Source organism: Homo sapiens, chromosome 13 (genome assembly GCF_000001405.40).
Source record: "Homo sapiens chromosome 13, GRCh38.p14 Primary Assembly".
NCBI lineage: Eukaryota > Metazoa > Chordata > Mammalia > Primates > Hominidae > Homo > Homo sapiens.
Window position 1 is genome coordinate 56,537,188 of NC_000013.11, and position 27,787 is coordinate 56,564,974.

Here is a 27,787-nt window from a genome sequence, read left to right on the forward strand (position 1 = left end):
TATGGCTTTTATTTTAGATCCAGGGGATACACACGCAGGTTTGTTTTATGGATATATTGTGTAATACTGAGGTTTGAGGTATGATTGAACACATCACTCAGGAAGTGAGCAGAGTAGCCAATGGGTATTTAATCCTCATTCTTCTTCCCACCCTCCACCCTCAAGTAGGCCCTGATGTCTGTTGTTTCCTTCTTTGTGTCCATGTGTACTCAATGTTTAGGTCTCCCTTATAAGTGAGAACACCTGGTGTTTGGTTTTCTGTTTCTGCATTACTTTGCTTAGGATAATGGCCTCAAGATGAATACATGTTGCTGTGAAGGACATGTTTTCCTTTCTATGGCTGCATAGTATTCCATGGTGTATATGAACAACACTTTTTAAATCCAATCCACTGCTGATGGGCATCTGTGTTGGTTCCATGTCATTGCTATCATGAATAGTGCTGCAATGAACAGAGCATGTGCCTTTTTGGTAGAATAATTTATTGTCCTTAGGATATATACTCAGGAATAAAATTCCTGGGTTGAATAGTAGTTTAACTCATGTCTTTGAGAAATCTCCAAAGTGCTTTCCAAGTGGCTGAACTAATTTACATTCTCACCAACAGTGTACAAGTGTTCCCTTTCCTCCACAACTCCTTCAACATCTGTTTTTTCTTGTTTTGTTTTGTTTATTCTGTTTTGTTTTGATTTTTTTATTTAAAAGCCATTCTGGCTGGTGTGAAATGGTATCTCATTGTTGTTTGGATTTCTTTTTTTTTTTTTTTTTTTGAGACGGTCTCGCTCTTGTCCCCCAGGCTGGAGTGCAATGGCATGATCTCAGCTCACTGCAACCTCCGCCTCCTGGATTCAAGTGATTTTCCTGCCTCAGCCTCCCAAGAAGCTGGATTACAGGAACCTGCCAACACGCCTGGCTAATTTTTGTATTTTTAGTAGAGACGGGGTTTCACCATGTTGGCCAGGCTGGCCTCGAACTCCTGACTTCAGGTGATCCGCCCATCTCGGCCTGTTGTTTTGATTTCTATTTCTCTAATGTTAGTGATGTGGAGCTTTTTCCCCATGTTTTATTGGCTGCTTGTATGTCTTCTTTGAGAAGTGTCTGTTCATGTCCTGTGCCCAGTTTTTAATGGAGTTATTTCTTTTTTCCTGTTGATTTGTTTAAATTCCTTATAGATCCTGGGTATTAGATCTTTGTCAGGGTCATGGTTTGCAAATATTTTCTCCCATTCTGTGAGTTGTCTGTTTAGTCTGTTGAGATATCTATCTATCTATCTATCTATCTATCTATCTATCTATCTATATAAAATTTTTTTTTCTGTGCAGAAAGTCTTTTATTTAGTTAGGTCCCACTTGTCAATTTTTGCTTTGGTTGCAATTGATTTTAAGGAATAAGCAATAAATTCGTTGCCAAGACCGATGTTGAGAAGGGTTTATACAAATATAGATATATGCAAGGTAATTCCTCATCTTTGCCCCTAAGATTATTTGTAATTTTATCACATAAATTTTATTTTATTTTACTTTTTTAAATTTAATTTTAATTGAGAAATAATAATTGTATGTATTTATCATGCATACCATGTTTTCAAATATGTACATATTGTATGGCTAATTGAAATATTCAACATATGCATTACTTCACATACTGATCTTTTTTTTGAGGTGAGAACACTTACAATCTACTCTATTAATGATTTTCAAGTGTGCCATATATTGTTATTAAATATAGTTACCATGTTGTTTAATAGATCTGTTGAACTTATTCTCCTGTCTAACTGACATTTCGTGTCTTTCAACCAACATTTCCCCTACTTCCACCCTCACCACCACACACCATTTTACTCTGCTTCCATAAACTCAAATTTTTTAGATTCCACATATGATATGCTTTGGATATTTGCCCCTCCAGATCTCTTGTTGAAATGTAATCCCCAGTGTTGGAAGTGGGTGGGACAGGGTGGGAGGTATTTGGGTCATTGGGATGGATCCCTCATTAATGGCTTGCTGCCCTTCCCGTGGTAATGTGTGCCTTCTTGCTATAAGTTCACATAATATCTGGTTGTTTTAAATATGTGGCACTTCCTCTTCTCTCCTTTGCTCCCACTTTCACCATGTGACATGCTGGTTCCATCACCTTCTGCCATGAGAAAAAGATCTCTGATATTCTCACCAGAAGCCAAACAGATGTCAGCACCATGCTGACATTTTATCTCCTTAGTTAGATATATACCTAAATATTTTATTTTTGTGTGTCTATTGTAAATGTAATTGTGATCTTGATTTGGCTCTCAGCTTGAACCTAATTGGTATATAAAAATGCCATTGATTAAGTTATGTAGTTTAATCAGTAGCCTTTCTATTCTCAATAGCAAAGACATGAAATCAACCTAAATGCCCATCAATAAGAGACTGGATAAAGAAAATGTGCTATATATACACCATGGAATATTATGCAGCCATAAAAAGAAATGAGATCATGTCCTTTGCAGGGACATGGATGGAGCTGGAAGCCATTATCCTCAGCAAACTAACATAGGAACAGAAAACCAAACATCACATGTTCTCACATAAAAGGGAGAGTTGAATAATGAGAACACATGGACACACAGCGGGGAACAACACACACTGGGGCCTGTTGGGGCAGGGTTGGGAGAGAAAGCATCAGGAAGAATAACTAATGGATGCTGGGCTTAATACCTAGGTGATGGTATGGTCTGTGTAGCAAACCACTATAGTACATGTTTACCTACGTAACAAATCTGCACATCCTGCAGAAGTACCCCTGAACTTAAAATAAAAGTTGAAGCAAAAAAAAAAAAAAAAAAGAAATGCTATTGATGTTTGTACATTAATTTTGTGTCCTGAAACTTTACAAAAGTCATTAATCTGATCCAGGAGATTTTTAACAAAGTCTTTAGGGTTTTCTAGGTATTGAATCATATAATCAGTGACAAAAGATAAGTTGACTTCTTTTCCTATTGGATGCACTTTGTTTCTTTCTCTTTCCTAATTGCTCTGAGTAGGATTTCCAGTGCTATGTTGAATAAGACTGGAGATAATAAGCACTTTTATCTTGTTCTAGTTCTCAGGGGGAATGCTTCCAGCTTTTGCCTATTCAGTATAATGTTGGTTATGGGTTTGTCATAGATGGCTCTCTAATATAAAATTATAAAAATTTATACAAGATTTATGAAAATCTTACCTTATACTCCAACTGATTAAAATGAGATATATTTGTTTGTAAGGTTTAATTAAGATTAGCTTTAACCTAGAAATTTTAAAATCAGATTGCCATCTTTCTCTCTCTCTGTCTCATACACACACACCAATACACACACACACACACACACACACACACACAAAACACTCTGAAGTGTTAAGTGGAAATATATTGAATTGTGTTACTATCATTCTTTGAGTATTACTTAACTCTCAGATAGGAGATATTCCAGAATCTTCTTGTATTCTCCATGCCCCAGCCCATAAATCCAACGAGACTTGGTGCCCTTTTGTAGAAAATGGTATTTGAAATCCAGAATATAAACACTAGATTTGCTCAGAGATATTGGAGGATTATTGTTTGTTTCAGCACTTATGAAACAGATGTCTAAAATGAGAATACATATACACACATGCACACGAACATGCTAAAATCTATCTTTATTTATCAACTTACCTATTTTATCATCTACCTATTATTTATCTATCTATCTACTAATCTATCTTAGATGAGATTAGACTTATCCTTCCAAACACTATTAAATGCCACATGGTTTACTTTACACTTCTTGTTTTATTAGTGATCTCTTCTGCAACACTGAGAAATCTAGCTCAGTATTGCAGAAGAGAGAACTAATAAAATATCATAGATACATACTTCTCAAATATGTACTTATATCTTTTTTCAGTTTTCTTGTATACTAACAGCCAACAGTTCAAGTGATCTCTGACTGGCAATGCCCCACTCATGACAACACCATCCAAACATGTTCTTCCTCTGTCCCAGCAGCACTCAGCTACAGATTTGATACACACAAAAGCTTCTACTGGTCACATGCCAGTCAGATCAAGAAATCCCCTCTAGCCTTAATGGTGCCCCACACTAAGGTTACTCCTGATTCTCCTCGTGACAGCAAAAAGATTAAAGAGGTTGAATATTCACTTGCTGAGAGATGATCACCAACCTTGCAATCCTATATAAGATAGACTTTTAGTTACTATTTTGTCCAGGAGTGTTGCACTGAAATTTTAGATAGATAGATTAGCATGTACTTTTTTTTCTTTGAAAAATTTGGTTTCAAGTTTATTCCACTTTTATTAAAGTTAGTCATAGAGTAGTCTTAAGTTATTCCCTGAAAAAAAAATGTGTGTGTGTGTGTGTGTGTGTGTGTGTGTGCATGTGTGTTCTGAATGTGATTTGCAGAGTAGTTGAAGGGACCAGCAAACAGGTGAGCTTGATAATACTATCAAAAATAGAGAGAGAGAGAAATACAACATTCACATCTATCTGAAATGGAATCAGTTTAACTCTTTACCATAGAGTGACTATGTTTTGTTGAATGAATTTAAAGAATCTTATTTTTGTGATTATTTATACTAACTGTTCCCAGATTTAGTTAAAAGGTATGGCAGTTTTAAATGCATTAAATAATTTCAATTAGTTTTTGTGTGTATACTTTGAATGCACAGCTAATATTTTTAAATGCTTTTGGAAGAAAAAATCTATAATATAGAAAATTAGTGAAAACTGAACAACTTGATGATTCATTGTGCTCTAACAAACTCCCTTTCAATGGGATCTAAGTAATAAATACAACACACAAAATTTTATTTACATACTTAACTATGGATATAGAAGAAATACTTAATAAGTACATTATATAGTCCACATAATATACATTTTAATATTAACAAATCTTACTATTTTAGATATTGTGGTTATTAGTTGCTAAGGTAAAAATAAGAAATATTACACAAATTCAAAAATGATTGTATTTTCAAAAATATACATAATCCTCTCAATATGACGTATTGTATCAGATGAATAAAAGTATCTTTTTTAGAATGCATATCTCTTAAATTTCAATGCTCATGAAAATTTTATTAATTTTGATACATATATGCTAAGATGAAATTACTGACGTGTATATTCACATAGTAAAATTTTGGCTGCCGGTTTCTCAAACTGAAAAAGAGAAAAAAGTGATTTTCCCTTTTCATAAGTCAAATACCTTTTAGGGTTTAGATTGAGATAGTCACTACACTTGTCAGAGTAACAAAAATATACTAATGTTTAGAAGCTTCTATTCCGGCTTTATTGTTTCTTAGATAGATTGTTTTTACCTAATATAATATATGAATAATACAAGTTCAGTTAAAAATGATAGCAATAGAAACTCATAACAAGAAGCACAAAATTTTTGATATTAATAATTTAATGGAGATATAATTTCCTCAGAAACATTAGTTTTAAAGAGGGAGACAATAAACAAAATTAATTTCTCATCTATAACAAATGTCTCTTATGTGCTACAAATCAGTATATTTGAAATTCAATCTAATAATATTTCTATTTTTTTCAATAAAGCATATAACCAAATAACAGAATTAGAATAGTGTTATGAAGTGGCAAATGTTTATGAGCGGATTAGAACTGCAATTCTTTTTCAGGCTGCCTTTTATTTATTTATTTTTTAAAAGACAAATGTTCCTGCTTTGAAAAAAAATGTAACTTTAATGATGTTTTGTAATAAAGTTTTTTTGAAAACATATGACACAGCCTAATTATTTTTGGGTGTACGGATATTTTAACAATTTATATATCAGTACTGGCATATTGCTTTTTAATTAAGTAGAGTGTTAATATGTTAGATATGAAATCTTTATTTTTATTTTAATGGGATGCTATTTATAACTGGATTTAGGCATCTGGAAATAATACAAGTATTTCCAAAAGGTTGTAAAAAATAAAATTGTTGCATAAATAATACAATAAAACATTCATTTGGAATCATTATTTTATAGCAAACACTAAAATGGTTCAATGTGAATGCACTAAACCCTTTATTTTCTAACCACATTTTTATCCAAGAGAAAACTAAACTTTAGAAAAATATTTAAATCTGTTTTTCTTGTCTTTCTTTTTATGTGTGTCTTTCTTTTGTTTTCGTGTTTTAAGATACAAGATTAAGCACAGTACAAAATGAAAAAGGAGACGTTACAACTGAAACCACAGAAAGACGAAACATCTTTGGAGGCTAGTATGAATATCTCTACGCTCACAAACTAGAAAACCTGCAAGAAATGGATAAATTTCTAGAAGTATAGAACCTCCCAGGATGAACCAGGAAGAAATAGAAATCCTGAACAGATCAATAATGAGTAGTGAAATTGAATCAGTTAATTAAAAACTTCCCAGCCAAAAACAATAAAAACAGCCCAGTACCAGATGGATTCACAATCAAATTCTACCAGTAGTACAAGGAACTAATACCAATTCTTTGAACTGTTCAAAAACATTGAGGAGGGAATCCTCCCTAACTCATTCCATGAAGCCATTTTCTCAAACATATAATGTGTATCTATTATATACTTTTGTGTTATGGCAATAAAAATTAAAATGGTTATGATAAGAACATTTAGTACACCTTTCTCAAACACTACCATATTTCATAATTGAATTTTCTGTTGCTCTCATCATCCGGAGATGAATCAAATGTAGATGGAACAAAAGCTGAATTGGTTTTAAGAGGTAAGGAACGCTCATGGTTAATTAGACCATTGGTAAAAGTGCTTTTTTGTCCAGTGCCTTGGCAATAAAAGAACCAAAACCAAAAAAAATCTTTGACAGGCACTAGGTCTTCTTTACTTCAGGTTATTAAAATATACCATTGTTTAGAAAATGCCTGAATTAAACCGTTCACCTGGTTGGTCTTTTCTTATACAGTTTTTCAAAAATTTTCAAGTAATTTTGTAGAAAAGTTTTGGGTTGTGAGTATAGAGATTTTACTGGGATGGGGGTATGAATATTTGCTCAACATTTATAGCAGAGTTTTTAATATAGCAGAAATAAATTAAATAACTCATTTTTTAATGAGAAAGAAATAACTGGTCAAAAATTTAAGCCAATTGTCAAGGGTGCAATGACGTTCTGTGTTTATATCATAATCTTAAATTTACAGATTTATCAATATTTTTAAAGCTTTCATTCCTACATAAGGAAGAAAACACTAATTTAATTGTTCATGTATTCATTTATTCTTGAAAGAATTCATTTAGCTAATAAAATATTTATTGGGAGCCAACACCAGGCACTACAAGTAATATGGTGATTAAGACTTCTGTTCTTCCCATTTGTGAAGTTTGCATCCTAATGGGTTACAAAGACAATAAATCAGAACCTTAAGCTGGGGGCATCAGAGAACATACCTGTAAACATTACAATCGATCTTTGAATAAAATTCCCTTGAAAAGCTGAAACAGCAATTACAAGGAAAAAATAATTAAGAGTTTAGAAGCATGAATGTGCATCCATAATCAGTGTGGCAAAGGCATATGTGGACACACCAGTGGATTTTAGTTAAACCTATCACTGTCAGCAGAAATGTAGTTTGGGGCAGTGAAACATATTACTAATACATAAAACACATTAGACTTTTTGTCAGAATTTAAAGTATTATAGGTGGAATAAGTCTAATATCACTTTGGTAGATAAAAGTGGAACTAGATATAGGACTAATTTAATAATCAAAGCAAAAATTAATTGAAGAATGAAAAACATAAGAAACTCGAATGAGTCCAATTTGCCTACTGTCACCAAAATAAACTCCTTCTTTACCTGAATGAAAAAAATATCTAAGCACATCTATTTCTCTTGTCTATTTTGCCTCTGGGACACCTCACAAACTACAATAATTACTACTTCTTGTGAACCCTGAGATTCAAAACAGTAGGATATTAATAAAAAAAACCAACTGTTACAAAAATTTCAGTTGATTTGTTTGATTTTCCCCTTTATATAATTCAAGGAGTCCAATTGTGCAAATCAACTATGAAAAAGAAGAAATGAGAGGCAGTCCATATATCCACTTTTTAACTTAGGAACTGATTTAAAATCTTACTACTCATCCTGCTCTGTTTCTCTTTTTTGTTTAGGTTTAAACATATAAATAACCCATCTGACCAGTTTGTTTTACTGCTATTGAGTTGCTTAAGTTCCTTATAGATTTTGGATATTAACCCCTTATCAGATATGCCATTTGCAAATATTTTTCCCAGTTGAGTTGTCTCTTCACTTTCTTAATTTTTTTCTTTTGCTGTACAGAAGTTTTTTAGTTTGATGCAATCCTATTGTCTATTTTTGATTTTGTTTCCTGTGCTTTTGGGGTTCTTTCCAAAAAATCATTGCCCATGCCAGTGTTGTGGAGCTTTTCCCCTTTGTTTGCTTTTTTAATACAACTTTTTATTTGTATGCATTTAGAAGTACAAACATAGTTGTCTTACATGGATATATTGGGTAGAGGTGAAGTTGAGGCTTTTATTGTCACTATCACCCAAATAGCCTACCTTGTATCCAATAGGTAATTTTTTATCCCTTGCCCCTGTCCCATCAACACACATCATTCTATTCTGTGTGTTCTTGTATAACCATTGTTTAACTCCCACTTATAAGTGAGAATGTGTGGTTTTTCACTTTCTGTTTCTGAGTCATTACACTAAAGATAATGGCCTCCAGTTGCATCCATGTTGCTGAAAAATGTATGGTTTCTTTTTTACACCAGAGTAATATTCCATGGTTAACATATACCACACTTTTAATCCACTCATCCATTTCAGGACATTTAGGTGGATTCCATAACTATGCTTTTGTGAATAGTGCTGCAATAAACATATAGGGCAGGTATCTTTATGATAAAATGATTTATTTTCCTTTAGTAAGATACCCAGTAGTGGGATTCCTGGATCAAAGTGTAATTCTATTTTAAGTTCTATGAAAATTCTGCATAATGTTTTCCATAGAGATCGTGCTAATTCACATTCCCACCAATAGTGTATAAGCATTCCCTTTTTCCTCTTCTAAGTGCTACTTTTCATTTTACATATTGGAAGCTATTCATAATAGGTTCAATTCTGTGATTTGTTTTTATTAATTCTGATTTTACTCTATACTGTTTTATAAGTTTTGGGTTTTAAAATAAAAATATATCATTCAAAATTCAGACTTTTGTAAGGCATATAAAAGTTCATTCATAATATCATTCTTATTGACTTTTCTAATATCATCTTCTGCTTCTTCAATTGTAATTTAAATTCAAGTTACAATATACTGTGAGTAGTGATATCATTTGGATGTGTGCCCTGTCCAAATCTCATGTTGAAATGTAATCTCCAGTGTTGGAGGTGGGCCTAATGGGAGATGTCTGGGTCATGGGGCAGATCCCTTATGGATGGCTTGATATCATGCTCATGGTAATGAGTGAGTTATCTCTTTAGTAGTTTACATGAGATCCATTTGTTTAAAAGAGCCTGGCACCACTTTCTCCTGTTCTTGCTCCCTCTCTTGCCACATGGCATGCTAACTTCCTTCACCTTCCGCCATGACTGTAAGCTTCCTGAGTCCTTCACTAGAAGCAGATGTGAGTACTAATATTTGTATATAGCCTGCAGAACCATGAGCTAAATAAACCTTTTCTTTATAAATTACCCAGCTTCAGGTATTCCTTTATAGCCATGCAAATGGCTAACACAGTGGTTTCTTCAATTTATTATATTGCATGAGGGTTCTTTACACATAAGCAGTTCTGTTTGTGTAAAATATATTTTCATCTTGCCTGCTGCTGGTTTTCAATTATTTATTCTTTCACATATCCATTGATTCCAGTAGTTTTTGAGCCTTACTATGTGTTGAACACTCTTCTAGGTATTAGAGATAGCAACAGTTTAAAAAAGCAAGATTTCCTCATTAAATTTACAATCTTCCTTTAAAGACTTTTTATCTAAGAATCTATTTCATGAGTCTTGCCTATTCCTCCAACCATGTTGCTCTCACAACACTGCCCAATGTTAACATTAATGTAGGTTTACATTGTGCTTACATTAGAGTCACCTTAATATACTGAAGGTGTCATGAGGACAGGAGACATGTTTGAACTATAGACGAGTGTATAGCATATTATCAGTAGTTAATACTTATTGGTTTAATAAATAATGTGTTTACTTATAACCTATGTTAACAAGCCCTTATATACTGATAATTAAGCAACACTTTTTTTTTTTTTTTTCATGAGATGGAGTCTTGCTCTGTTGCCCAGGCTGGACTGCAATGGTGCGATCTTGGCTCACTGCAACCTCCGCCTCCTAGGTTCAAGTAATTCTTCTGCCTCAGCCTCCTGAGTAGCTGGGATTACAGGTGTGTGCTAGCACGCCCAGCTAATTTTTTGTATTTTTAGTAGAGATAGGTTTCCCCATGTTGGGCAGGCTGCTCTCGAACTCCTGACCTCATGATCCACCCACCCCGGCCTCCCAAAGTGCCGGGATTACAGGTGTGAGCCACCGCACCCAATCACAATATTTTTAAATGCTATATAGCCTTAGTGATATTCTAATTCTTTAATTTTGTCAATCAGAAATATTGACAGCCAGATTGTATCTCTGATTTTCTTTCATGTTCATAGAGAGTGTGTGTGTGTGTTTTTAGATGAAGTCTCACTCTGTTTCCCAGGCTGGAGTGCAATGGTGTGATCTCGGCTCACTGCAACCTCCGCCTGCCGGGTTCAAGCAATTCTCATGCCTCAGCCTCCTGAGTAGCTGGGATTACAGGCTCCCGCCACCATGCCCGGCTAATTTTCTTTTGTATTTTTAGTAGAGACAGGGTTTCACCATGCTGGCCAGGCTGGTCTTGAATCCCTGACTTGAATCAAGTGATCCACCCCCCTCGGCCTCCCAAAGTGCCGGGATTACAGGTGTGAGCAACTGCGCGCGGCCGAGAGTGTTATGCAGTTTTCTAAAAGCAGCAAATATAACTTCCTGGTAAATAGGTTAGGTTTTATGGCAAGGAATATTTTTAAAATATGTGATTCTTTAGCATTACAAACATTTATTATTATTATTTTTTAAAGAAGAACTTTAACAGTTACCTCTCATCAATATTGTGGCATCTAGTATTTTTAGGGGAATACGTTAGAATGTCCTTAAGATCATGGTTAGTATTTTCTTATCTTTTATTTAATGTATATTTTCCTGAATATAGAGCTTATCTCCCTAATTAATTTAAATAGCTAGGTGGTCTTTTCGGTTTACCTCATGTGCAATAATATGCAATCCCTCTTGGTTGATAATGCACTACTGATTGATTTAAAAATGTTAGTTTTAAAAATGATGGTATATATCCAAATGAAACAAACTTAAAAAAAATCTTAGAAGCACTTGCACTGAAATTATAGGTATTCCAAATACATAAATTAAAAATAGAAAACAGACTATAATACGTAGGAAAGTATAATATAGTATATAATGCTATAGCATGATCTTGTTTATATACAAATAGATTTTACCATATAAATCTCTATTTCTTGAATATGCTTCTATATATAGTTTTAACTGTTTTGCTTAGCATTTTCAAAAATGTATACAATGAATATTAATAAATGTAAAATTGTCAAGAAATGTCAATTTTAAAAAACTTAAATTTTATTTTAATGTGTAATTGTAAAACTAATTATATGTTACCAAATAAAGATATCATGGGGATTGAATATTAGATAAGATAGATGGGTTTGCTTAATTTTGCATTTTTATTTTGCTGTCATTGGTAGCACTTCCATTATGTGTCCTGCATCAGCATTTTTCCTATATCCTCTCTTTTAATATTTTTTCTTTTTCAATTCCCCTTTTATGTCAGACATATTCCCAATACTCTTCATTCTTAATGTATTAAGCATGACTGGCATTTAAAAAATCAATTTAACTTTGTTTGTTTAACAAAAATCTATGTAGCTCTATTATGTGCCAGTGTCTACATGCTTTATGATAACAACTCAATCAGTCCTCATAACAAGGATATCAGGTAGTTACTTCTTTTTTTGTTCATTGTATAGGTGGGGTAATTGAGGGCTGGAGAGATTAACTTTCCCAATAACTCACAGTCAGTAGGGATAGAGCTCAGATTTGAAGCGAGGCTCCAAATTCTAGGTTCTTACCTTATATATGTTTCCTCAGTTTTAAGTAGGGTATTTGATTTGCATTTCCATCCCTAACTTGTTAAATTCGATTATCCCTTCCATGTATAATAGAGTATAAATTAAAAATATAATTTTAAACTTAAATTTAATACCATTTTTTTGGAATGAATTGATCTGTGCCTGTATGAGAATGCAAAGACAAGGAGGCCATAGATAGCATGATTAACTGTAAGTGAGATACAAACCAAAGCTGACTTACAAACTTATTAATATGACAATGTTAACATAATATTTGTTATAAAATGTAATCAAAGAAAATTTTAGGGAGTAACTGATTTCAGAAATTATATATTTCCTTCGTGATTGTTGCAAAAAATGTCTCGGGAGATAATCATCTAAGAACACCCACGCAAGGGTGGGACTAATGTTCATTAGATGAGTGGTTGACACTTTCATGATATTCACTCATAAGATCACTACCCTGTTAAAGCATGTGCTGTTTTATTTTTAATCATGCAACTCAATTATATTCATTGTTATTTCTCATAAAATGTGTTGAAGATACTTCAATAAAATAAAATGTTTAACAATGATGATACACACTGTTTTTCTGGCTTCTTGTGAAATGCAATTTTTTGTGACATTATAGCTTGAGTTAGTAAACACAAATTATTGTTTCCATCTCCTGGAAACAATGACGACTGGAACTATTATACTGTGCAGTATCCTAAGACCTGATTTATTTTATTTATTTATACCAAAATTCACACATCCATGAAGTAAAGCAGTTATTTCGTTATGCCTCTTTCCATCCAACTATATTGCTTATTAATTCTAGTATCAGTAGTGTGTATGTAGCCATTGTGAATGAGTATGTCTAAGGTAGGATAATTTTCTTTCAAAATAAAATGAATTTCAATATTCTTAAAACCATATTAGAAATTTATCAAAATATCCAGACTAATTAAATAATGTATCTACCATAGAAATTCTTATTTTCTATCTCACACACATGGGCCTACAGTTTTAAGTTAAAGACAGCTGACTTGCTTTTGTAAGAAGTAAAATTTATAATTCAGGAGTCAGTTGAGATTGCAAATGAATAGTGGTTTTTGCAAAAGATACATAATTAAGATGGGAAATAGCTTTGGTCCAAAATAAATACAGTCTCAGCTATATATTAATATTTATTCACTAGAAATGAAAAAAAAATCCATTATATTATGTTTTGTTTCCTTGTGTATATTTCAATTTAAAAAAGTAGAGAAAAAGGATAAAACGAGTATATTAGAATTGATCCACATTCATCACTGCTTTTAAAAATAAAAGAGATTCTCTATCAATAAAACATCTCACTGTTTTTATAATAATTTTTAGGAGAAATCAACATTATTGTAACATGAATAATAAAAAACATAAATGAGTAGCTAAAATTTCAATGCTACTCTTGTAAAAACACTGAAACACTGAACTGTAAGCATCCTTATTTAGTTGCAATAAATATTGAAGTGTTTGTGGTTTCTACACCTTACTTAGAGCTTGTCAAATATATTTGTAATTCTTCTAAATTATACATTTATTTGGGTAAGAAAACTATTACAGCACAGTACTTTGGGAACCATTTACAGGAAAGGAAATTTTTTTCTGTGTTTTCAATTTTTATGTATTTTAGACTAGATTGTATTTACAAGGATTTTCTTCTGTAAATTTTAAGGATGAAGATACCATCTTGTATTGATATCAATAATAAATTTATCATAAATATCGTACATTTTAAAATTTGTCTTATCGCTTAGGTAAAGTTCAGAGAGAAAACCATCCCATTATATAGACAAATGATTGATTGTTAAATTAAGAGATTTTAATTTAAAATATTCATTGAGTATAAACTGATTTTAGAGAACGAATAATGTATTATGTCCAGAATATGTTGTATGTTGTTCTATGTATTATATTTATAGATGACTAAATGCATGTGTAGAATGTAGAAATTGAATTCTGAAATCAATATAAGCAATTATAAATTAATGTAGCTCCTTCAGAAAGTGAAATTTCACAATGTAATTCTGTATTTTTTTGACTGAAGTAATAAAAAAATGTAAAACTACTTTCATAATGAAGTGATTTTTTTTGCCTTTCTTATTCTGTGTATTTCTAGTGAAAAATGTGAACATGTACCTCAATAAACACCAGAACAATCACAGAATATTATATATTTATTATTAAGATAATGTTTATAGAGTTTTAAATAATTAAACATGTTTGCTTTCAGGTCAGAAAAATTTATCTAAAATAAGAGAACAAATGTTATAATATGTGTTTTTTAGTAGTATAATTTCAAAAAAAGCTTTATACGTAAGTCAAAATTTTACTTTTAATTTTTTATGTCATAAATTGTGCTTTATTTTAGTCATAATCTTTATGTTATCATAAGTTTTATTGACTTAGTCAAAAAATCATTTAGATTTAAATGTAGTAACATTCCATTTAAATAAAAAAACTCCCTGACCTCCAGAATACCTTACAACATTTACAATTTGCATCTGCAGAGGTGGTTTGCATGCAGGCTTAAATGTATTTCTTGAGGTACTTTACTATACAATTATAGATCTTGAATCTACCAGTACAACTGCATCAATTTTTAAGAGAAGCCTAACAAAATAAACATCGAAGATAGATTTTTTTGGCTTTAAGTAGAATGAACTATTTTCCCAATCCCATGCAAACTTACACAAATAAAATACAAGTTACCATTTGGAAAAATATGTTTGGTATTTGTTGTTTTTCAATAAATTTACCTTGATTAAGTTTGATAAATGTGATCCTAAAATCAGCTCCCCTTTAGAATATCCTGTGTTTCTTTTGTTCTCAGCTAGAAGCTATGGTTTCTAAAAGTTAAAAACAATAAGAGCAAAGTTTCTTGACTGGACTCTTGGAATATGGCACAGATTTTGGTACCTGTTATAAATTTATATACCCCACTTAAAAACCAAGCAAAAACATAAAAATATAAAATTACAATATTTTTATGTTTACATGCACTGACAATAAGTAGAGACATAATGCTTGAATTTGAAATGCTAGGGCAATAATTGTGCTCTGGGTAAGAAATCTTTCCATTTCTCCTGGGTCATGTGGGCAAACACTGACCCTTTTCTGATTTTAATTCAATTGCCAAATGTCTCACTTTATACTGTGGTAAAATTCTCAGGCATTCATTTTATAGTACAGATAGACAATTTTTTTGCATAAAATTGCTATGTTTGGTTAAATGTGTAGCCAAGCGACCACATAATTTCCTTTTTAAAAAACATAGCTGTGCTTTAGCATTTGTAAGACTGTGATAACCATTAATATAGCCTTTAAATGTATATCCACAGAAGCAGTTATTTTTATCATATTCATGAAGCCTGAATATTCTGGTACATGCAAATATTCTTTAAAACCAGGAGCTACATACTCCACAAATAGATATATGGAGATCAGATAAGTTATTTTTCCCCTAGGTTTCATCTTATATTCTTGAAAAAATTTTGTGGTAATAGGTTAGATTAATAAAAATTAGGTACCAAACTAAAACCGGCTTCTTACAACTTTCCTGACAACTTTCCAATCAACAACAATTGATTTAAGGTAGAAGAAACGAAGAGAGACACATAAATTCAAAACATAACTCTTCTTTAAAAAATGGTGATTATGATAGTGCCTACATCATAGAGTTGTCCACATACATATAAAGCCCTTAGAATTATATTTGGCTTACATTAACACTTTGTAATCATCCAATATCACATTTTATGTCAAATGCTTAGAGGAAATTAAATAAATGATGGTAGGTATACCAGACAGTTATTTAAAACTTTGGTCAATTTAAACTGCAATTGTTGTTGAGTCTGGAACATTTCCCATCTGACTCTGGGTTGGCTTAAGTCCTATATCATGGCTAACATCATTGATTACTCATTAACTTGCTCAATAATTCTTTTGCCATTGATTTCTTAGTAACCCACATCAATCTATACAGGAACTGACCTTATCAAATCTGATCATTTTATATTTGAGCTAAGTCACAGCGCAAGTGACTTGATTATTTCTATATTATATAATCAAACAATGTCACCTGACATTTTTTTAGACTCAATAAAGTCTAGCAATTTGGCTTAGGCAGTACAGTCAAGATCTGTCATTATCTTTGTGTTGGCACATGAAGTGAACATCACTGAAAAAGCTCTTTGGAGATCATTCACCTAATAAATTCTGTTATGTTTGTGTATAAAGCTCTCCTCCTTCTCTAGCCTGGGACCCTACCAAAAAACCATCATGAAACTGGAAAAATGTTCATTAAGTTATTATATTATGAAGAGTATATGTTCATAGAGTTTTGTGTGAATTGAACTCCAAATTTTTTAAATCCTGAGATGAATATTTGAACTTAGCTCGTTTTTATTGCAGTTTAAAGACATACTACATGAGATAGGAAATTTTTGTGTAACTATAATTCACTTAAATAAAAACATAATAATATAAACCTCACCTGTAGATTGGGTAAGGATAACTGACAAAACAAAATTGCAAGTTCTGTTTTAACACTTCCTCTGTTCTTATCACCATCTCATCACACACCCTGACACATTTTCTTTGAATATATACATATATAAAAACATATATATAAATTTACATTTATATAAATTATTTTCACCTTAAAGGCATCATTTTTATTAAAAGTAAAATTTCTCTAGCATGCCATTAAATAGAATTGCTTATATATGTACGTGTGTGTATTTACATGTCTGTATGTATGTGTATATGTGTGTGTGTGTGTGTGTGTGTGTGTATTATATATATATAAACATATATTTTTTTTCTGGTCTCTGCACTGTAGGAATAGACAGTCTAGTGTAGTTGTTTTATATATATATTATAATATATAATATATAATTATATATAATATATACAACATAAATATATAATATATATTATATATAATTATATATTATATAATATATATATATATTTTATATATATATGTGTTTTCTGGATCCAGGGCTTCATATTAACCTCATACTTACTGATTATATAAACTTGGGTAACAATTTTTCTATAATTAATTTTCCTCACATGTAAGATGAAAAGAAGAAAAATAAGAAGGTGGAGGGGGAGAAGGAGGTGGAGAAGAAAAGGAAGAGAACTGGGTTAATTTAAAGAATAAATAAATTAAAAATCTTAGAATAATAATGATATGGAGAAGTAAGTAAATGTTTTATTTTATTTCACAGTGGGAATAAAAGTTTCAACAAGATTCAACAGGAACAATAAAATATCTTCACTCCTAGCTTCTCAATGTCACACTAGACTAATTTTTAGTGTTTGTTTAAATAATCAATCCAAGATCCTGATTTATGTTTTTAGTATGGCAGTTAACATAATGAGTCTTATCAAAGGATTTCCATGACACAACAAAACTTCTCAAAAGTACTTCCCAAATGTTATTTGAGCATAACATTTTACAAGGAAAAAAACAGGAAAAGACATTAAATAATTCGCTTATTTTTCAAAAAATATCTACATTATAGTTTGCCACTAAGTTGGAAAACATCTGGTTCCAACTAACTAAATTCAGTTCCATATTTCATTCCTAAAGATAAATTTATAAATAATGATTAATCAATTTTTGCTTCTTAATTTCTACACTACGTAAGTTTAAATGCATAGTGTTCATGTATTTATATCAGTGATTTTTAGATTTTGAGCATTATAAGTATGCTTTAACTGATAGATTAGTCATGACATAGCTATCTCTGCTCTATATTAAAATTTAGCCATTAACATTTAAAAATTACAGGAATGAATTTGTTCTGAAAATTAAATAACTAAGTTACTTCGTACTTACTAAGAAAATTGGCTTGGTTCATTGCATATTTAAAAACAGTCATTCCAGAAAGACATACTAACTTATTTTTAGGAAGTGGTAATCATCACTGTATATAGAGCTATTTGATTTAATATGACAATGTGAAATCATTTTAGTATTTTATGTGCAGAAGGTTGAAATAATCATACCTCTCAGTTCCCAGCACATGAGTATCATTAGTTGTTTTGAGCTGCGTCTCTTTAATCATATATGTGTGTGTGTGTGTGTGTGTGTGTGTGTGTCCGTGCATATCTTCCCTTTTAATTACATATACTACTCACATTCTATTCCCTTCATAGGTAACCATATTAATATTTTAACAAATTATTTATTTGAATGTCTTCTTTATTTTTATATGCATATATTTTAATTTTAATTAAATGATACCTATGTTAATGTAGCATCATAAGAAACAGAAGAGGATGAAGTCCAAAAAGTAATGATTGGTTTACTGAAATAAACTCTTCTTTAATGTGAAGTAAAATAACCACTAAATTGTATATACTGGAGTTAGCAACATATCAATAACCTTTGCAATTGCAGGCAAGTTGAAATTGTAAGGCTACATTATGGACACCTGGTAAAAAGATGAACAGAAAGCTACTTTAAACCACTACTTCTGGATACCCACAGGACAGAAAACTTTTATGATGCTTTCATTGGAGTTTTGTTGGTTGGTTGGTTAACTTTTTTAATGAAAAAAATAAAAGGAACAAATGGAAATATCTGTGGCAAAAAAATTCAGTTGAGCAGGAAAAATGTGCAAACAAAGAAGAGAGAAATGAAGATAAGAAGATAACTTAAAGTATGATCTTCCTGAGAAACCTGGTAGGAATCAGATTAAAAACACAGGTGGAGAATTCAACTATTATTACATGATCTAAGTAAGAAATGCCAGGGTTTTTTTGGGGGCGGGGGGGGTGGTTGTTGTTTGTTTTTTTGATTTTTTTTTTGAGACAGAGTCTGGCTCTCTTGCCGGGCTGGAGTACAGTGGCGTGATCTCGGCTCACTGAAACCTCCGCCTCCCGGGTTCAAGCGATTCTCCTGTCTCAGCGTCCAGAGTAGCTGGGACTACAGGCGCGTGCCACCATGCCAAGCTAATTTTTGTATTTTTAGTATAGACGGAGTTTCACCATGTCGGCCAGGATAATCTTTATCTCTTGACCTCGTGATCTGCCAGCCTCATCCTCCCAAAGTGCTGGGTTTACAGGAGAAATGATAGTTTTAAGAAACAAGTAGTTTTAAGCAAAGTAGATGGAAATTTGAGAGTTCATACCATATGACTACTGTTCCTTTTTGAACTTATAGAGAAAGGGGCTTATATGGATCAGGTGCAAAGAAAGAGGAAAGGGTTTACATGTCCTATGGTGAGAAAGAGAGATTGAGATGACTTAATAAATAAATATTTCCTGGGAGATTTGAGCTCACTTGTAGGCAATAAATTTATAGTGATTATAACATTGACAGTTTGTGTTGTTTATACTACTGTAATAATAATATCTTTATGTATATATATGTGGATGACAATATTTGCATCTATTGGTTGTAGGATTTGCCAATTAGGTGTAACTTAAGGGATCGTGGCATATCTTAATTAAGAGAAAATGATACAATGTATCATGGAATAAAGAATTTATGAAGGAAAAGGAATAAAAAAGAAGATAGATGAATAGGAAGAAATATCAAGGAAAATATGTAATTGGAGTATTTTAATAAGACTGTTAAAATGACTGCTTGAAAAATAATTTAGAATGGAAAATTATTTCTTGTAAGAGATAAGTTAAAACGTGTGACTGTAGACCAGTAAAGCCATGTAAAACATGGGATTTGGAGGAAGTAAACAAGCTGAGTAACTAGGGGATTGGATGTGTTGTCCATAAAAATCATGAAGTCATTTGGAATCTTGGCAGCATTTGAATTGGTTAGGAAAATCACATGCAAGAGAGAAAATGTTCAGGAATAAGGGAGATTTTCTCAGAGGGTAGTGGGTTACACACTAATTGTAAGAAGAGGGGTGTATTAGTGTTCTCTAGAGGGACAGAACTAATAGGATTATCTATCTATCCATCTATCTACTATCTATCTACTATCTATCTATCTATCTATCTATCTATCTATCTATCTATCTATAAAGGGAAGTTTATTGTACTAACTCACACAATCACAAGGTCCCACAATAGGCTGTCTGAAAGCTGAGGAGCAAGGAGAGCCAGTCCAAGTCCCAAAACTGAAGAACTTGGAGTCTGATGTTCGAGGGCATCCAGCATGGGAGAAAGATGTAGGCTGGGAAGCTAGGCCAGTCTAGTCTTTTCACATTTTTTCTGCGAACTTTATGTTCTAGCCTTGCTGGTAGTTGATTAGATGGTGCCTACCCAGATTAAGGGTGGGTCTGCCTTTCCCAGTCCACTGGCTCAAATGTTCATCTCCTTTGGCAACAGCCTCACAGACACATCCAGGATCAATACTTTGGATCCTTCATCCAATCACATTGACACTCAATATTAACCAACACAAGACGGACAAGATAGATAGGAAGAGACTTAAAGAAAAAGCAAGAGTGTAGAAGAATAATAAAGAAATGACTTTGGAAAGCAAGTGAAATTACATAATCCCATTTCCTTACACTGAGATAGACACCATTTATAAAAAGACATCTTCAATGAATTCAATATTATCAGTTGATATACCAATTTTAGTTAAGACCAGGCATGGTGGCTTACACCTGAAATCCCAGAACTTAGAGGTAGAGGCAGGAGCATAACTTGAGCGCAGGAGTTGGAGACCTGCCTGGACAACATAGCAAGACCCCATTCCCTACAAAAAGAAATAAAATAGACAATCACCTCCCAAAAAATTTTAGTTAAGTACAAAATATGATTAAAAAATATTCAAAGAAGCATTCTGGGATAATGGGTTTGAATAAATGAGATATTTGTTAAAGCAATTGTTGATCAACTCCCAGAAGTAAGAGGAAAGATTATTATACAGGAAGGGAGTGATAGTATGTGTCAGGGATAGGAACTACAGAGAGAAGATAGAGAACCCTCCAGGAGGAGGAGAGATGATCCAAGTGGCTTATATTTTATTGATAATCAAGAAAAACATGGGTCTAAGAGAAGACAGACTTAGATTTGAAGGACAGCTGAAGAAGGCTGATCAGAAATGCGAAGAGACTAAAGATGGAACTAGATTTATTTTATTTAGGTAGACTTTTTATATAATTTGAATAGACACATAAATGTAATGCTCATAGAAGGATGAAAATATGAAAATAGAGATAATTTGTTTTATAAAACTAGACTAAACTTGTCAACAGAAATTGATGAGTATATTTAAAATTCTAAAACAATTTGTCATAAATACATTAGATGTCCAAATCCAAAATAAAATACCAGCAAACATAATGAAACAACATATTAAAAGTATAACATGTTATTATGAACCAGATACTTCCCAGAACTCTGCAGATTGATTAACATTAGAAAATATGTTTACATATGTATACACATACACACACCCCATATCAGCAAATAAGAAAAACATCCTGATAATCCCAGTAGATATTAAAAAGGTCTTTGATTACATTCAGTATGCATTAATCATAAACTGTGAGTTATGGGAATTTAATGACAAAGAATATGAATCATAAACTGATTCAGCATGGGCTGGGCATGCTAGCTTATGTCTGTAATCCCAGCACTTTGCAAGACTGAGGCAGGCGAATCTTTTGAGGTCAGGAGTTCAAGACCAACATGGCCAACATGGTGAAACCCCATCTCTACTGAAAATATATACATTAGCTGGGCGTGGTGGCACACACCTGTAATCTCAGTTACTCTGAAAGCTGAGGCAGCAGAATCGCTTGAACCTGGAGGCTGAGTTTGCAAAATCATGCCACTGCACTCCAGCCTGGGCGACAGAGAGGCTCAGTCTCAAAAAAAAAAAAAAAAAAAAAAAAAAGGAAAAGAAAAAAGAGTCAGCATAATGCAGACTTCAAGGCCCTTGGGTTGGCTTTTACCTACATCCTAGTGTCATCTCAGATACCCTTTCCATTGCGTTTTTTATTCTGTCTGAGGACCACCACTTGTGTTGATCTTGTGTTCCTCCAACGTTGGCTTTCCTCTTGATCTAATCCAACACCTTCAGTTCCCCAATAAAAGAGCTATGGCCACCAGATTAGTAAAATCCTTTAGTTATTTGCTATTATATCACTAAATCCATCTTCTAAAACTATTACACTTCTATATAATTTCTCTATTTCCTTTAAAACTAGTTTAATAAACCACACAGAGATAGAAGTTGTTAGCTCTTGCTATGGCTTGAATGTTCTCTATAACTCATGCTGAGATCCATTTGTAGTTCAGAAACATGACTATTGTCTTTTCAAGCTTATATGAGATCTGGCTCCCTCAATCCTTGCTATGATATCAGTACATTACCTGTCTGATGTGAAAAAGAAAAGATAAAATGAAATAAAAGCTCAGACACCACAGAGAGTTTCCACCAGTAAGAAGGCTCTCACCAGATCCAGCCCCTCAATCTTAGAATTCTCAGTCTCCAAAACCGTAAGAAATAAATTCCTTTTTAAATAAATTACCCAGTTTCCAGGATTGTTTTAATAAGTAACAGAAAATGGATGAAAACTGATCTGTCTCCTGATGTAGATATTGGAGCCAAAACTTTATACTCATTACTCAAATAGAGGATTTTTTCACAGGGTAAATATTCAAGGGAGGCAGGGCTGAATTCTACATCAGAAGATAACATCTCAGAAGAATAGATGTTAATTTTTACTCTCCCCTAGAAACTATAATGTACACAGGCTGTGATGCAGGCTTGACCAATCGGACTTTGCTACCAAGGATTCTAAATCTAGAGAGAGTGCCAACAAAAAGAGTGTCAGCAAGGCTAGCCATGGACTCTATTGTCAAGCAGCTTTGTGACAGTGACAATGACAATGGCAGTTCCATTGCAGCAGTGTCCTGAGCTGACAGTTCCTGTGATGTGTTATTGGCTAAGGTTTGAAATACCAAGAATCTTAAGGTTCATCTCATTTTTAAGCTTGGATCATCAGCTTTACTAAAGATTCTCTGAGCTCTACAATTTACTTCCTTGAGTGCTATTGATGAAAAACTCTTTTATTGTAAAATATAGCACAGAGAAAGATTAAAACATATGATCAACTTAATAAATTGTTATGTGTTCAACTAGTAACTACCACTTTTATCAATAAATAGTCTTTCCAGACATTATTGAACCTCTCAATGTGCCTGATCTCAATCAAAACCTCACAGCCCTGCTGTAACCATTGTACATATTTAATGGTAATCATGCTCTGCTTTACTTCACAGTTTAATAACTCAAGAAGTATTCTGAAATACTAGGTTTGATTTTAACTTTTTGTGAGTATGGTTATATATCTTAAGTATTCTTTATTACAGGTCCAATCCATAAATTATTATTTTCCTGCAATCTTATATTTCACAATATAACTGGGCCATTTTACTTGTAAAGTATTTAAGATTCTATAATTTTCACATATTCCCAAGGAATATTTTAACATATTTCTCTGCCCTCTGTATTTTCTATCAATTGATTGTTTAATATAGGGGATTTACAGAGTCAATACATAAATATGTAGCTAATCCTTAAACAAATAAATATGTCTAGCTATATAAATATATCAATCTATATATAGATTGATATATATAAGTATATAAATAGATATAGGAAGTTTATATATAAAAACTTATCTATATATATGAATCTGTACTAGTTTTATATAGATAAAAATAAATCTTTTCTTCACCTTTTGGCAAGACTGTTCATTACATTCCTCAAGCAAGAGGCATACTGTGTCTGGTTGCCACTTTTGGTGATGTTATCTATTGATTGTGCTTATTGCCTAGATATATTAATTAATTAGTGATATTTTATTATATCATTTCTCCTTTTTTATTAGTAAAATTTTTTATATGAGTAAAAATTTTTTTTAATCTAATGTTTTCTATCTCAGAGAAGTTTGCACAGGACTAATAGGCTAAAAGATTTATTTTTTTGCTCTTCTTAATTTATTTTAAAAACGGAATTATTTCTTTATGACCCTCCAAATTTGGCTAATTTGTTGAAAAGTTTCAATTAATTTTTTATTAGTATTTGAACTCACAGTTATACAAAATATATTTGAAGTGTTTTAATCCATTGTTGTTTTTATTGAAGCAGAAATGCTCCTGTCTCTCCAGTGGGTGGCTCCTATGTCTTCTGAGTTCTTTTGACATGCCCCATTGCAGTCCCTGATAGTTGCTAAAATGTTTCAGACACTTCCTACACATTTTCCATCCCAGATCTGGAATGAGACATTTCTAGTTCTGGTTTGTGTATATGTGGCAGGGGCGGGAGTGTGAGGAAGGGTATTTCAAGACCAGAATTTGGGCAATATGAATATGCATTATTAACTGGGTCTGTTGTTATTTCTACATCTTTCCATTTGACAGAGTTAGAGTGAATAAGTGGATTGAAGTGTGGATGGATGGCTAGATTAGCAGAAAGGCAGATAAGGCCGGGCACAGTGGCTCACGCCTGTAATCCCAGCACTCTGGGAGGCCGAGGTGGGCAGATCACGAGGTCAGGAGATTGAGACCATCCTGACTAACACGGTAAAACCCTACTAAAAATACGAAAAAATTAGCCAGGTGTGGTGGCGGGCGCCTGTAGTCCCAGCTACTTGGGAGGCTGAGGCAGGAGAATGGCGTGAACCCGGGAGGCGTAGCTTGCAGTGAGCCAAGACCGCGCCACTGCACTCCAGCCTGGGCGACAGAAAAAAAAAAAAAAAAAAAAAAAAAAGGCAGATAACATGCCCTCCGTGAATTCATAGTGTTATGCCTGATTTAAATTGAAGACTGAGATGTATACGTTATCTCTGCTAAATTTTTGTCTTCTTTTTTTCCACATTAAATACATATGTTTTGAAGAATATCAAAAGTGGTAGAATTGAACTATTTATTACGTAATATTTTTATATTTATATAAAAATAAAAGGCAGTATTTATATTGATGTTTATACTGATTGTTGTGGTTGTCTGCAATTCATGGCCTAGTTAATGCATAAGAAAGAGCTCATGGAGAAAGCAATTTCTTAGCTCTCGAAGTATTGTAACAGTTTGTGGCTTCTATATTTGAGAGTAAATTTGGCTAGATATAATACATTTATCTTACTTTGTCTTTGCATTATAACAGTTTGTGGCTTTTATATTTGAGAGTAAATTTGGCTCAATATAATACTATTATCTTACTTTTCCTTTGCTTACTTTTCTTTATGGGAGTGTCACTAATGTGTTATTTCATTTAGTTCTGGAATTAAACATGCTGTTGAGTTTGATGATAACCTCATTTTGTTTTCCTTATAAATAACTTTATGTTTTTGTTGGACTGCCAAAGAGATTTTTCTATTTTTTTTTAAAATCCGGCTTTCTTAAGAAGCAAACTGTATTTACTTAGTTTTCTATTACTCCAATAAATCATTTCTTCTAATTTTATTTTTTGTTCTTATTTATATTTGTATATAATATTTACATGACTATAATCAATATAGTCACAATTTTATTTTCATCTTATTCATTTGACATAATTTTCACACATTTCATCTTGTGGCTAATATTTTCCATTATAATTTTAACATCTGCATAATAATCCATTAAGGTATTATTTGATATACCATAATACCACCTCCTTATTTTAAATATTTATATCTATTCCCTTTTCTTCATATTACAGGTTACGTCATTCAGTGTTTTTAAAATTAATAAATTGAAAAAAATTCAATGATTTGGCTTATCCTTCCTATAAAAACTGGTCAGAAATATAAAACATATTAGAGAAAATTTTTATTTGTATACTTATTTCTACTTATTTCAGCATGTTTACTGGAATTGAGACCTAGTTTTCTTCTAATCTACAGCTCTAACAGCATAATCCATAAAGCAGAATTCCATGACTAAGACATGCCATTTGCTGTTTTTCTTTGAGTTCTAATTCAAAGAGGTAAACTGTTTGGTCTGTTTTATTGACTTTCAAGTATATCGTGATAGTCCAAACATTGTTCTTCAGAGAAGCAAAGACCAATTCTAAAGTGGAATCTAGAGTGAAATCATATCTATCTATCTATCTATCTATCTATCTATCTATCTATCTATCTACACATATATGAACCTTTGACATTATCTTCCATTAGAAATTGCACCGATTGGTCATCAAAAGGAAGAAGAAACAGATTGTTGAAAACACATTAATGGTTCTTGAAACTGTTCTAATCAGCAAAGGCATCAGTACTGGGAAGAAGTCTGAGAAGGTAACTATTAGTTATCTATTTATGCATAATAAATTAACCTAGAATAACAGCTTAAAACATACATCTCACAATTTTTTAAGCCCAGGAATTCAAGGTGAATTAGTGGAGTGGTTCTGGCTCAGGGACTCTGATGAGGTTGTAATTAGGATGTCAACTAGGGCTGCTGATACCTGAAAGCTGCTCCCAGGACTGGAGGATGAGCTTCCACAACAGCTCACGCACGTGGCTGTTGGGTGGAGGCCTCGCTGTTGGGTGGAGGCCTCAGTTCTTCATCACATAGTACTCTCATGACACAGCAGCTGGCTTCCCTGAGTAAGTAATCCAGACTTAGACTCCTAAGTTGTACTCTCGTGCTTTTGATGTTTTTTTTTTTTTCCTACTCCTTAGAACCAAGTCACTGAGATTCCACCTCTTTAAAGGAGGAGAACCAAAGACATTGAGGCCATATTTTAATGCCATCATAGTAACTGCTAAACCATCAGAGAATAATGGGCAAAATACAGAGATTTTATAGCCACACAGGACATCTCAAATTCTGGCTGTGTTGATTATTACCAATTGAACATTGAGCAGATCAATTGGTGCAACATCCTTGGCATCTTTCTTATTGTTAAGCTAGAGATTATTTATTGTCTGCCTATCTCACTGGATTATTATGAGACTCACAGAAGAGCATAGAAAATGGTGGTTTTGAAAAACAAATATTTATTAATCTTGAATTAAACATGTATTTGTGTAAGTTTTTAACTCATTGAGGCTAAAATGTATCTATGGCTGAAAAATATAAAATCATTAAAGAAGTAAACAGATTTATATTGAATGACTATGTAATCAATGACAAAATCACTGTAGCATAGACTTTTTCTAGGTGATAAGGCAGGAATGTTCTGTATGTATTTCCTGCTTTTTCACATATACCAATATGTAATTTCCAAACAACACATTTGGAAATGTATTATAAAGTGTTATAAAAAGTCATAAAATGGGTTTCATAACTTCCATACTTGAAGATAGTTTCCACTCATATTAAAAAAAAAAACAAAAAACTACATACTTTTTAGGTTTCAAAGATAAATCTATTATTTCAGAATGGTTTTCTGATTTTCATCATTATAAATGGAAAACATAAATGTTATTACAAAAAATGCCTACAAATGTAATAAATAAAAATTCTTTGACCTCAACACATAAAAACATTTTTGTTTTTATATCTATTTTATATAAGAAATCTTAATCATTGGATTGGCATAAATAGTTCAGTTATTATACATCATGTGTAAGCCAGTGCACGAAACTTAAATTTATTCCCAGTTAAGAAATATATACCTAATATTGTTAAGATAAATGGCTT

At 32.4% G+C, this 27,787-nt stretch overlaps 1 long non-coding RNA gene and 1 other non-coding gene across 3 annotated transcripts in view, besides 1 other annotated feature; one reads left to right on the forward strand and one right to left on the reverse strand.

Moving 5' to 3' along the window:
* LOC105370214 (uncharacterized) overlaps positions 1 to 27,787 on the reverse strand; it is a 477,307-nt gene that overhangs the window by 278,872 nt on the left and 170,648 nt on the right. The window lies entirely within an intron of this gene.
* On the forward strand, positions 22,437 to 22,538 carry LOC124903268 (small nucleolar RNA U13). Its single transcript, XR_007063967.1, has one exon. It is a non-coding gene; the product is annotated as a small nucleolar RNA U13 (small nucleolar RNA).
* Positions 25,790 to 26,989: an enhancer, noted in NCBI's record as "MED14-independent group 3 enhancer chr13:57137111-57138310 (GRCh37/hg19 assembly coordinates)". NCBI's record gives its function as "activates an origin of replication core promoter dependent on BRD2, BRD4, P300/CBP and CDK7 cofactors, and independent of MED14, by STARR-seq in HCT116 cells {active_cell/tissue: HCT116}" and the evidence as "EXISTENCE:reporter gene assay evidence [ECO:0000049][PMID:35650434]".